This window comes from Homo sapiens, chromosome 14, assembly GCF_000001405.40.
Source record: "Homo sapiens chromosome 14, GRCh38.p14 Primary Assembly".
Classification (NCBI taxonomy): domain Eukaryota; kingdom Metazoa; phylum Chordata; class Mammalia; order Primates; family Hominidae; genus Homo; species Homo sapiens.
The window spans coordinates 91,818,638-91,832,866 of record NC_000014.9 but is presented as its reverse complement, the minus strand read 5'-3'; the positions used below and the strand labels follow the sequence as shown (position 1 = coordinate 91,832,866).

Below are 14,229 nucleotides of genomic sequence, written 5' to 3'. Positions count from 1 at the left end.
ATTCTTTATCCATTATCCTGCGGATGGATATTTAGGATGTTTTCAGTCTTTTTTTTTATTTTTTTGCTTTTAAATTTAATTTTTACTTTTTTCCATTAAAATCTGTTTTTAAGTGACCCTTCTAACTCATGTCTCTTTGTGTTCATGGTTTTAAAAACCTTCAGTTTTGCTGGAAAACACCGGATTGTTTTATAAAGTGGCTGTACCAGTTTATAGCCTCACAAGCGGGATGTAAGTGTTCATTTTGTTCCCTTTTTCAGCAACATGTAAGACACTTCTACATTCGTAATTACCTGAATTTTTTTTCTTTTAGACAATCGGGTGAGAAATGGTATCCCATTGGGGGTTTAATTTAAATTTCCTTAATTACTGATGATGTTGAACCTTTCATTGTTTATGTTTTGTGGGTGTTTATGTCTTTGGCCATTTTTTTGTTGTTGTTTTTTTACTTTAAAACATAGATTTTTTTTTTTTTTGAGACGGAGTTTTGCTCTTATTGCCCATGCTGGAGTGCAATGGCATGATCCTGGCTCACTGCAACTTCTGCCTCCCGGGTTCAAGCGATTCTCCTGTCTCAGCCTCCTGAGTAGCTGGGATTATAGGTGCATGCCGCCATGCCTGGCTAATTTTTTGTATTTTTAGTAGAGACGGGTTTTTACCATGTTGGCCAGGCTGGTCTCGAACTCCTGACCTCAGGTGATCCACCTGCCTCAGTCTCCCAAAGTGCTGGGATTAACAGGCATGAGCCATTGCACTCGGTCTAAAAATGGATTTCTGTAATAGAAGCTCTTTATATATTCTGGATGTGAATCCCTTGTCAGTTATGCACGTGGCACATTTCTTTTTCTCCAAGTGAGCAGCCTGTCTTTTACTTTCTTTATAGTGTCTTTTGATTAACACGTTTTATATATAGTTGAATATAGTTGACTCTGTCAACTTTTTGTTTTATGGTTTGTGCTTTTGGCATCTTGTTTAACAAATCTTTACCTTCCCTGAGATTATAAAAATATAGTCTGATATTTTCTACTAAAAGCAGGGGGGTATATGGGAAATCTCTGTACCTTCTCAATTTTACTGTGATTCTAAAACTACTCTAAAAAAGAAAATCTATTTAAAAAGTTGCCTTTCATATTTGTGTCCTTAATCCATGTAGAACTGATTTTTGTATGGTGTGAAGTGGGGGTCCAGTTTCTTTTTTTCCCATATGGCTAATCAGTTTTTCCCAGCATTATAGAACTGAATATTCTGTTTTTCATTTCAGTGATCTACAAGTATCATAGATCAAGTTTCCATACATGTGTGGTCGTTTCCAAGCTACTCTTTCTAAAACAGATCTGTTTATGTATCTTACCACAGTCTTATTTACTTTAGCTGTTTAAAGAACCTTGATACTTGAGAGAACAAGTTATCCACCCATGCTTCTTTTAAATTAGACTGCTCCTCAAATTAATGTTTAATTTTTTTCTTTTTAAAAAGTAATAAAATGTGTTATTTAATTCTTAAATATCTACTGTAATCACCTGAAGTCATAAATAATACTGAAGCTACTCTAATGTAGACTATATCAGGCTGCAAATCCTTTCCTAACTTACTAGAATTAATTTTAACTTGAAAAATAAATATAGGATTTGCATTTTGGGAACAGTGTAAGTTGTGAGGTATTGGACAACCTTAGCTGAGAACAGCTAAGAATGCTGTATTTAAAAAAACAATTCAAAAGATAGGAATTAACATGCCAAAATCTAAGAGAAAGCTAAACGTATGAGAGACTAAAGGAGCCTTTAAGTCTTACTTGCCTTGAGAGCATTTGCTAAACAGGGGAAACTTGATGCATTTGAATAGGCACTTGGTATATTTGCATGTCACCAAGGATAGTTGGAAGTCAGCCCAGGGCTCATTCAATGTAGGCTAAGAGGCTAATTCTGGGACCACAAAGGGCTGTGATGTCACGAGAAGGGCGAAAAACTCACTCTACCTCCTTGAAGGGAGTGCAAGGAAAGTTGTCTTGATGCCAGGTAAAACAAGAAAGGAAAAAAATCCTGTCCTTGGGAAGTTGTGACCACCAAACAGACCATGGGGAGAAGTTTTATATTACCTTGGTGGTCAAAAATATTTCAAGATGTAAATTTAAAAAATCATTTCTTTTTTGAGATACTAACATACCATAAAATTCACCCCTTTAAAATGTACAATTCAGTGGGGTTTTTTTTTGTATATTCATTTAGCTGTGCAACTATCACTATATAATTCTAGAACACTCTTGTCACCCTCCTAAAAAAACCTTGTACCCATTAGCAGCCATTCCCCATTTGCCTCTTCCTTCTCAGTCACTGGCAACCACTAATCTGTTTTCCATTTCTGTGGATTTGCCTATTCTGGCCATTTCATGTAAATGGAATCACACAATATGTGGTCTTTTATGTCTCACTTCTTTCTTAGCATAATGTTTTCAAGATTTATCTGTGTTGTAGTGTGAATCAGTACTTCATTTGTTTTTATGGTTGAATAGTATTCCATCATATGGCTGTATACCACATTTTGTTTTCTCATTCATCAATTGATGGACATTTGGATTTGTTTCTACTTTTTGGCCATCATGAATACTGCTGCTGTGAACATCTGTGTAAAATGTTTTTGTGTGGAAATATGTTTTCTATGCTCATAGGTATATTTACTTAGGATTAGAATTCCTGGGTCATATGGTAGCTCTGTGTGAAGTGTTTGAGGAATTGCCAAAGTGTTTTCCAAAACAGCTGCACCATTTTACATTCTCATAAGCAATTTATGAGGGTTCCAGTTTCTCTACAGCCACACCAACACTTATTTTTTGTCTGTCTTTTTGATTAGTGTGTGTGAAGTGGTATCTCATTATGGTTTTGATTTGCATTTTCCTAATGATCAGTGGCATTGAGCGCTTCTTAATGTGTTTATTGGCCATTTGTCTGTCTTCTTTGCAGGAATGTCTAATTCTTTTGTCCATTTTAGAATTGGGTTATTTGTCAACGCATGAATTGAAAATGGTCTGGTAAACAAATGCAGATATTCTCTGGAGTATACTTTCATTTTTAGCTTAAAAAGTTCTACCAGTACAGTTTCATGGTCAATGAATAATTCATTGTCAAAGATAACCAGCTGTACAAGGAAGTAGGACATCCTGAGCAAGAATTGGCAGAATGATAGAACCTCGAAATAAACCTACAAAAGCTTGAAAAACCAGTCATAGATCATTAAGATAACTATACTGGGCTGAGTTTAAGTAAATAAAAGACAGATTTAAAGATATGTTCAGAGATCAGGAGTCTAAAAAGTGACAGAGCTACACAGCAGGTTGAAAAAAGAACTAAATGTAATTTCTACTAATGAAAAATGCAGTAATAAAACTCATCTTTCAGCTTAACTACTAATTAGGAAATTAGATGTACTCCACAAAGAGATTGAATGAACTGGAAGATAGAATAAATCATTCAGAATATAACTCAAAGAGACAGAAATGGAAAATATAAAAGAGGTGAAGAGACATGGAAATTAGAGTGATCAGAGTGAGGAATTATAGTGAGAAAGTCTAATAAACTAGAATTTCTGCAAGAAAAGAAAGAGAAAAGAAATGGGCAAAAACAATATTTAAAGAGATAATGAATGAGAATTTTTCAGTACTGAGGAAAGACACCAATCCGTATATTCAAGAATCTCAATGAATTTCCAGCAAGAAAAAGTACATACTTAGAAACATCACAGTGAAATGAAGAAAACCAAAGGCAAAGAGAAAAATCTTAACATTACTTTAGGGCCTAGACAAAAGATTTTTTTTTTTTTTTAAAAGAACAGTGGTTATGCTAGCAGCTGCCTTCTTTATAACAATGGTGGGACAGAAGACAATGGAATAAGATATTTTTGTCTTAAAGAAAATAGCTTATAATTTAGAATTCATAACCAGAGGAAATATCTTTAAGAATGAGAGTAATACAGGGTGATGATCAATGGTTGCTAACACTGTTAAAAAATAAAAGCTGAACATTATGTACCTACAACCTATGTAGTAGTCTTACTAAAAATAAAAAGTCAAACCTAAAAATCTGTATTAAGTTATAGATTGAACTATAATTTTACAGAAAAATAGGCAGAGATTTGCTGAATGACACCATGGGAATGCAATCAGCAAAATCCTATTATGATAAACTCTATTGGGTAAGAGACCTGGTTTCAGCATCAGAATACTTTCAAGGAAACTTGTAGATTAAAGGAGATTTAAGAAATATTTAAACCTATTTCACTCAAATAAGCTATACAAAATTATAGGAAAATTGGGGAAATGTGAATACTAATATGAGGAAATTATAGATTTTTCTGAAAGTGTGATGGTACTGTAGTTGCATTAAAAAAGAGATATATAATATAAATATAAACATAAATGTAAAGTTATATTTGGTATTAGATGTTCTTCAATATTGTCTTTTAGAGATACATACTGAAATATTAGAGATGCATACTGAAATATTTACAGATAAAATTATATCTTGATTTTTGTTTTCAAAATTTCTGGAAGTGGGAGGATATTGTGGAAAAAAGTTTGACTATGAGTTGATAATAATTAAAGCTAGATAATGTGTCCATGTGGATTTATTTTATATTTGCTATACTTTTGTATATTATTGATACTTTTCACAAAAAAATATAAAAATCAGGGACATTTTCAGATCAGCAACAACAGAGGGTTTTCTACCAACATACCTTCACTAAAGTAAATCATAAAGGATATTAGCAAGAAGAATGTGATTGTACATGAACAGTTGGCGATGCAAGAAAGAATGAAATGGAAGGAATGTAAGAAGGAATGAAGTGGAAAGTAATTGGTGAAATATGTTTGTAAATACAAATGAACACTAATTTTACAAAAGAATAATAATGTTTTGTGGGGTTTTAACAAGATAGAATCAAAATATGTGCAATGATGACATCATGCCTAAGTCACACATGGATTGATTGGCATGTAAAGGAGCTAAAAGTCTTTTAATAGTCCTTTTACTATGCAACAGGAGAATATAAAAGGACTAACTTTAGACTTTGACATGTTAAGTGTGTGTATTAAAACAACCAGAGTGACTATTTAAATAAAAGGAAATTGAGTTTATAAAATTTATAGTATACAGAATAATGGCCTCACAAAGATTACCATGTCCTAATTCCCAGAACCTGTGAATGTTACCTCACATGGAAAAAGTGACTTTACAGATGTGATTTAGGATTTTGAGATGGGGAGATTATCTTGGATTATGGAGTATCCAGGTTGGCCTAATGTAATTGCAAGAGTCTTTATAAATGAAAGAGAGATTGTAGGAGATTCGGAGTTAGAGAAGATGTAACAATGGTAGCAGGGGTCAGGGAGACTGGAAGATGCTGTCTTGTTGGCTTTGAAGTGGAGGAAGGGGCCATGAGCCAAGGAATGCAGGTTTCTTCTAGAAACTGGAAAAGGCAAAGGAATGGAATTTCCCATAGAGCCTCCAGAAGTAATGCAGCCCTGCCAACACCTTGATTTTAGCTCAGTGAAACCCATTTCAGACTTCAAACTTCCAGAACTGTAAGATAGTAAGTTTATTTAAAGCCATTAAATTTGTGGTAATTTGTTGCAACAGCAATAGGAAAGTAATACAATATCCAAGCTATTGGAGGGAAAAAAATGAAGATCATAAACACTTAGTCAATCCAAGGAAGGATGAAAGGAAAGAAACAGAGAACAAGTAGGACAAATAGAAAGCCCAGGATAAAATATAGGTTTAAATTCATATATATATCAGCCAGTTATCTTAAATATAAGTGGAATAAATATTACAGTCAAAAGACAAAGATTGTTTATCTGGACTAAAACACTTTAACTAAATGCTATTTATAAGAGACATATCTAAAACATGAGGAGACAGAAAGGTTGGTAAACAAATGGAAACAGTAAACAGAAAAAGATATTCCATACAAATGCTTTCTAAAAGAAAGCTGCATAGCTATAACTATCAGACAAAATTGTTTTCAGGGTAAAAGCATTTCTAGAAATTAAAAAGTTACCATAATGATAAGAGATTTAAATCACCAATATGTTAAAACAGTTTTAAATCTTTATGACTGGACTAAATACAGTTAAAATACAAATAAATACAAAGATTGTCAGAGTGGATAGTAGAACACAATCTAACTACATACTACTTATAAAAGACACCTTGAGCATAACACAGAAAGGTTGAAAAGAAAATGATGGAAAGAAGATATAACATGCAAATATTAACTGAAAGAAATTCTAGTTATATCAGACAAGCCAACATTAAGGCTTCTAGAAGTATTACTAAAGATTGAAAGGGAGATTAATAAATTTATATGTACCTCATAAATTAGAATAAAAATATATGAAACAAATCTGATAGAACTAAAAGGAGAAATAGATATATCCACAGTCATAGTTGGAGTTTTCTTTTTAGATGCATCTCTTTTAGTACTATATAAAACAAGCAGAAAAAAAAATCAATAGAGATACATATTTTTTTCCTGCTTTTTTTTTTTTTTTCAGACAAGGTCTCACCCTGTCACCCAGGCTGTAGTGCAGTGATGCGATCACGGCTTCCCACAGCCTCCACTTCTTGAGCTGAAGTGATCCTCCCACCTCAGCTTCCCGTGTAACTGGAACTACAGGTATGCACTACTATGCCTGGCTAATTTTTTAATTTTTTGTAGAGATAGGGGTCTCCCTATATTGTACAGGCTGGTCTTGAACTCCTGGACTCAAATGATCCTCCTGCCTCGGCCCCCACAAAATACTGGGATTTACAGGCATGAGGCACTATGCCCTGCCAAGATACAGAAGATTTTAACATGACCAACGAATTTGATTTAGTGATGTACATGGAACATTGCACCTCAAAGTTGCAAATGTACATGGAACATTTATTAAAATTGATGATATACTATGAATATCATTGATTGTATACAATTTCTCTGATCACAGTGGAATTCAGCTACAAATCAATATCAATAAGATAGCCAGGAAATCTAAATTAAAGAAAAACAAAAGAATAAGACAGATGGAGAACTGAAATAGGGCTTTGTTATTAATAAAGCTAATTTAGATATGGCATGTATCTGCAGGCAAGTAGGTTTTCTAATACAGACAAATCTTTCTCAAAGAAACTAGAGACAGCAAGAAGCATTCCTACCCTAACGTAGTTCAAAGGTGCAAAAGTAAAAAAGAGAATGGTGTGTTTCTAGCACATCAGGTAGTTATATTTTGAAGCTTGGTATTTGCAGAAGGAAGTAGTGGAAGATGAGCAAGAGAAGGGTCACATATTGTATTTAGCAGAATAAATTTTATCCTGAAAGTGATAGAGAGATATAGCATTACTTAAAGCAGACGAAGGACCTTAGCAGCACAGTGGGGGGATAAAAAGAATTTGAAAGGCAAACCTATTAGCTGGCTCTCTGTAATTTGGGGTATCATAACATCTGAATCAAAATAGTCAAATTGAGAATAGAAAGGAAGGTGTGAAAATTACAAGGATGGCCAGGCGCGGTGGCTCACACCTGTAATCCCAGCACTTTGGGAGGCCGACGCGGGTGGATCACGAGGTTAGGAGTTCAAGACCAACCTGGCCAAGATGGTGAAACCCCGTCTCTACTAAAAATACAAAAATTAGCCGGGCATGGTAGCGGGTGCCTGTAATCCCAGCTACTCAGGAGGCTGAGGCAGGGAATTGCTTGAATCCGGAGGCGGAGGTTGCAGTGAGCCAAGATCGCACCACTGCACTCCAGCCTGGATGACAGAGCGAGACTCCATCTCCAAAAAAAAAAAAAAAAAAAAAAAAAAGAAAAGAAAAAGAAAATTACAAGGATTAAGGGGCTCTACTCAACAGAATTCTAGCCCTTGCCTATTTCACAGTTCACCTGCTAACTACTCTTTCTGTTGCTTAGTACCTTGCAAAATAATGCAAAGTGGGTACAACTCAAGATTTTTGCAATTTCTGGAATGCTCCACCATCAAGAACTTTGCTAGCTGATCCTTTCTTGTGTTTATGTTCCAGCTGGATTGTTACCTCCTCAGAGAAGTCTTTTCTGATTATACAAAGTTAACATTCATTCCTTTTGAATCCTGGTTAATTTTCCTCATTGGATTGAATGTATCATGTGTTTGTTTATTTTTCTGTTTATCTCCCTCCTCTGTTGTAAGCGCTCCAAAAGCTTGTCTGTCTTGTTCCCTATTTTGTCTTCAGTGCCTAGCAAATTGCCTAGTACATAGTAGATGCTCAATAAATGCTTGTAAGTGAATGGATGAATTGGATGTGTGGATTTTGGGAGCAGAAGGACTCAAGAATGGCACTTGTATTTCTGGCTTAGTTAATTAGCTGGATAGTGGCACTGTAGTAGGAAATACCAGAGGAAAAGCAGGTTTGCAGGGGAAAGTCGTGATGATGTACTGTCCTTTATTTGTGAGAATACCATAGACAGGCTGTTCCTAGACTATGTCAGACCAGCAGAGGCAAATAAGCCCTTTGGGAATCTCAAAAGGAAGTGATATTAAAAGTATTTTAACAACTTGTCGTGCATGAGCACTGACTGTAATATTGGAGCAGAGTCATGGAGGCCCCTGCTTTTTCAGACATTTACCTCAGGGGTGCCTAGGGAGGAGTTAAAGTGACTAGGGTGTTTATAGCTTTTATCTATTGATATGGAAGTATTTAAGTCTTTTTACAATCTGTCCTCATACTAGAATGTTCTAGCTAAATGTCCCCATATCATTTCTGGCATTGGGTAAAGTGCCTAGCATGAATCAGATCTGTTGTAAGTGGGATCTGATGATAATAAATATAATAATGATGCCGCTGATGACAGCAAACATTTATTCTTAAAACAGCCCTACCACTAGTTTTATACTTTATGTGCATTACTTTGGTTGATCATCACAATAGCCCTAAGAAGTGTTTTGTTGTTGTTGTTGTTGTTGTTTTTTAATTGATGAAGAAGTTGAAGGTTAAAAAGGTTAAGTAACAGATTTAAGGTCATATAGCTAATAAGTGAAAGTTACAGGATTGGAACATAGGCAGTATACTTTTAACCATTTATATTTGTTTCTCCTTGTTGCTAAAAAAGCAAACATGTGGCTATGTAGATAGCCAGCACATAGTCTGTTAACCTGACTGGTCCTGCCCTTCTACCCATACCCTACCTAAAGCAATGTGGTGTATTAGAAAAAGTTGTGAAGCTTAGGGTTTGGTTCTAAACCTAACATTATCTAGTTGCTTGACTCATTATTTTCTTTGGGTAAAATTAGAAGGACTTTGATAAAATGATTTCTTTTTTCTTTTTTTTTTTTTTTGAGATGGAATTTTGCTCTTGTTGCCCAGTCTGGAGTGCAATGGCGTGATCTCGGCTCACTGCAACCTCCGCCTCCCGGGTTCAAGTGGTTCTCCTGCCTCAGCCTCCTGAGTAGCTGGGATTACAGGCATGTGCCACCATGCCCAACTAATTTTTTATTTTTAGTAGAGATGGGGTTTCTTCAGGTTGGTCAGGCTGGTCTCGAACTCCCGACCTTAGGTGATCCACCCGCCTTGGCCTCCCAAAGTGCTGGGACTACAGGCATGAGCCACCATGCCTGGCCCCTGATAAAATGATTTCTAAGCCTTCGGCTCTGCTAATGTTTTTGAGGCCTCTTTTTCTGTTAATGTTCTGTAATTCTACTTATGTATTATTTTTTCAGGTTTATTGAGGTCTAATTGATATGTAGTAAGTTACATATACTTGAAATCGATAATTTGATGTTTTCATGTTTTCATGTATGTATGTACCTATGAAACCATCACCACAGTCAAGATAATGAGTATAGGCTCGGCACGGTGGCTCATGCCTGTAATCCCAGCACTTTGGGAGGCTGAAGCAGGCGGATCACGAGGTCAGGAGATCGAGACCATCCTGGCTAACACGGTGAAACCCCGTCTCTACTAAAAAATACAAAAAATTAGCCATGCGTGGTGGTGGGCACCTGTAGTCCCAGCTACTTGGGAGGCTAAGGCAGGAGAATGGCGTGAACCCAGAAGACAGAGCTTACAGTGAGCAGAGATCACGCCACTGCACTCCAGCCTGGGCGACAGAGCGAGACACTGTCTCAAAAAAAAAAAAAAAAAAGATAATGAGTATATTACCCCCACTCCAAAGTTTCCTCCTGCCCCACCAAGTCCTTCCTTTCTGTCCCTCTCTGTGCTTCATCTCCCCACTCCTCACTGTCCCGAGGCAGCCTCTGATCTACTTTTTGTTACTATTGATTAATTTCCATTTTCTACAATTTTATATAAATTGAATCATGCAGTGGAGTTCAGCTACAAATCAGTATTAATAAGATAGCTAGAAAAGCCAAATTAAAGACAAAATAAGAACTGAAATATGACTTTGTTATTAATAAAGCAAATGCAAGAGAATATGGCACATATCTGTATGGCACATACTCTTTTTGTTGGCATTCTTTTGCCCAGCATAATTATTTTGAGATTCATCCATATTGTTGCATGTTTAACCAGCTTACTTCTTTATTTCTGAGTAGTGTTCCATTGAGCCACAGTTTGTTTTCTAAATGGATTAATCTGTTGATAGATACTTGATAGTTTTCAATTTTTGGCTATTTTGAATAGATTTGCTATGAACACCAGTGTACAACTCTTTGTGTAAACATGTGATTGCTTTTTTCTTAAGTAAATATGTAGTAATGGCATGTCTGGATCATGTAGCAGGTATATGTTCAACTTTAGAAACTTGTCAAACTGTTTTCTAAAGTGGTCATGCCATTTTACAGTCCCACCAGTAGAATAGGAGAATACTACTTGTCACATATCATAAACATTTGGAATGGTCAATCTTTGTAATTTTATCCTTTTTAATCAATGTATATTGTTGTCTTTTTATAGTTTTAATTTGCATTTTCCTAATCACTAACTGTGTTGAGCATGTTTTCATGTGCTTTTTGGCCACTTGTAGATTTTTTTGGAGAAGTGTCTTTTCAAATCTTTTGCCTATTTTTTAATTGGGTTATTTTTCTTTTTATTATTAAGTTGTAATAGTTTTTTATATATGCTGGATATAATCCATATTTTATTGGATGTGTGATATGCAAATATCTTCTCTCAGTCTCCGAGTGGTCTTTTCACTTTGTTAATGGTGTCTTTTAAAGCACAAAGTTTTTAATTTCAATTAAATCTAGTACATCAAATTTTTCTTTGATCATGTGTGCTTTTGGTGTTGTGTCTAAGAAATTACTGCCTAACCCAAGTTTACAAAGATTTACTCCTATGTTTTCTTCTAAGAGTTTTGAAGTTTTAACTCTTACATATAGGTGCATAATCAGTTTTGAGTTAGTTTTTGTATATGGTGGGAGGCAGGGATCCAATTTTTTTTTTTGTGGGAAGGGCATGTGGATATAATGTGGATATAAATATTGATATTCAGTGTCCTAGCACCATTTGTTGAAAACACTATTTCTTTCCCTTTAAAATTTCTTGGCACCTTTGTTAAACATCAATTGACTATAAATGTAAGGGTGTATTTCTGGGCTCTGAATTTAATTCTATTGATTTATTTATCTGTCCTTATACTAATATTATATTGTCCTGATGACTAGTTTTGTAGTAAATTTTGAAGTTAGTCTTTCCACTTTGTTCTTTTTTTTTCCCCAAGATTGTTTTGGCTATTCTGCACCCTTTACGTTCCCATATGAGTTTTAGGATCAGCTTGTCAATTTCTGTAAAAAAGCTGGAAGGGATTTTGGTAGAGATTGTGTTGAATCTGTAGATCAATTTGGGGAGTATTGCCACCTTAGCAATATTAATAATATTACCATTTTAATGATATTACATCTTCCAATCCATGAACATGGGATATCTTCACAAGTATTGAGCTCTTCTTTAATATCTTTCAGTAATGTCTTGTGGTTTGCAGTGTATAAGTCTTGTACTTCATTTCTTAAAGTATTTGTATTTTAAGTTTTTAAAAATGTTATTATGAATGGAATTGTTTTCTATTTCATTTTTGGAGTGTTCATGGTTAGTATATAGAAATGCAATTAACTTTTGTATATTTCTCTTATATCTTGCAACCTTAGTGAACTTCTGGTAAGTTTGTTAGTGAATTTCTTAGATTTTTTTTTTTTATTTACAAGATCTTGTTGTCTGTGAATGAAGAGTGTTTTACTTCTTGATTTCCAAGATGAATGCCTTTGACAAAATATTTTTAGCCTAATTGGCTTAGCTAGAATCTCAAATATAGTGTTGAATAAAGGTAGAGAGAGTAGAAATCTTTTTTTTTTTTCCTGGCTTTAGAGGGAGACTTTCAATCTTTCACCAGTTCCTGTGATGTTAACTATAGATTTTTTCATAGATGCTGTTTATTATTATGTTGAAAGATTCTCTTCTATTCTCAGTATTTTTATCACGAATATTGGATTTTGTCAAATTTTTGTATCTATTGAGATTATCCTATAGTTTTTGTCCTTTATTCTGTTAATATGATGCATTACATGAATTGATTATCAGATGTTAAACTAATCTTGCAATCCTGGGATAAATCTTGCTTGGTTATGATACATAAATCTTTTATACGTTTCTGGATTTGGCTTGCCAGTATTTCATTGAGGATTTTGGGTGTATGTTCTCAAGGGGTATCCATCCTTTTATTTTTAACTTATTTGTATTTAAAATGTTTCTTGTAGGCAGCATATACTTGTATCATACTTCTTTATCCAGTCTGGCAATTTCTGCCTTTTAATTGGCATATTTTAAAGTATTCACACTTGTGATTCTTGATATAATTAAGTTCAAATCTATCATCTTGCTATTTGTTTTCTACTCATCCTATCTGTTCTTTGTTCCCCCTTTCTTTTTCTGCTTTCTTTTATTAATTGAGTATTTTAAAATTATTCCATTTTATCTCCTTTGTTGGCTTATAAGCTGTAACTCTGTTTTCTTATTTTAGTGGTTGTGTTAGGGTTTATAGTATATATCTTTAACTTTCTACAGTCAGTCCTCAAATGATATGATACCACATCACATATACTATAATTATTTACATTTTTACTTTTATTTCTCCCCCGGCCTTTGTGCTATTGATGTAATACATTTTAGTTTTACATATGTTACAAACCTTTTGTCTCAGTATAATTTTTTTGTCTAAGCTTTAATAAACTTGTAAAGAAATCCCAATAATAATAAATCATGTATTTATACTTATGGTGCACTTTATTCCTTTGTGTAGATTCATATTTCTATCAGATATTATCCTTTGGCCTGAAGGACATCATTTAACACTTCTTGTGGTGTAGCTCTGTTGGTAATATGTTCTTTCAACTTTTGTATGTCTGAAGAAGTCTTTATGTCACCTACATTTTTGAAAGATTTTCTCTGAGTGTCAAATTCTAGGTTGATGGGTTTTTTTCTTTCAGTACATTAAAGATCTTGCTCTACTGTTTTTGTTTTGTTTCCATTGAGAGCTATGCTACTATCCTTTTTAATTAATTAATTAATTTTTTGAGACAGAGTCTCTCTGTGTCACCCAGGCTGGAGTGCAGTGGCATGATCTCAGCTTATTGCAGCCTCTGCCTCCCAGATTCAAGTGATTCTTATGCCTCAGCCTCCCGAGTAGCTGGGATTACAAGCACACACCACCATGCTCAACTATATGCTGCTATTCTTAATCTTTGCTTTGATGTACATAACATGTCTTTTTTCTCTGGGTGCTTTTAAGATTTTCCCATCACTGTTTTTGAATGATGTTATTATGGCGTGGTGTGCATTGGTGTAGTTTTCTTCATGTTTCCTGACCTTAGTGTTGGCGGAGGTTCTTAGATCTGTGGTTTGTAGTTATCAAGTTTGGAAAATTTTGGCCATTATTTCTTCAAATATGCCCTCCCCCCTATCCCCAGTCTTCTTTGTGGACTCCAAATACATGTATTTTGGGTCACTTGAAATTGTCCCATGAGTCACAGATGCTTTTTATCATTTTGATGTTAGTCTTTTCTCTGTGTCTCATTTTAGTTAGTTTATCTTACTATGCCTTCAAGTTCATTAATATTTTCTTTTGCAATATCCAATCTGGTATTAATCCCATCCAGTATATTTTCCATCTCAGACATTATAGTTTTCATCTCTAGAAATTGGATTTGGGTCTTTTTAATATCGTCCATATCTCTACTTAACCTTTTGAACATATTGAGTCCAGCTA

At 34.6% G+C, this 14,229-nt stretch overlaps 1 protein-coding gene across 4 annotated transcripts in view, besides 1 other annotated feature; it reads left to right on the top strand.

Moving 5' to 3' along the window:
* Positions 1–14,229, top strand: part of TC2N (tandem C2 domains, nuclear) — an 87,791-nt gene that overhangs the window by 34,670 nt on the left and 38,892 nt on the right. The window lies entirely within an intron of this gene.
* Positions 3,115–3,315: a silencer, noted in NCBI's record as "peak2233 fragment used in MPRA reporter construct". NCBI's record gives its function as "represses an SCP1 promoter by STARR-seq MPRAs in K562 erythroleukemia cells {active_cell/tissue: K562}" and the evidence as "EXISTENCE:reporter gene assay evidence [ECO:0000049][PMID:32103011]".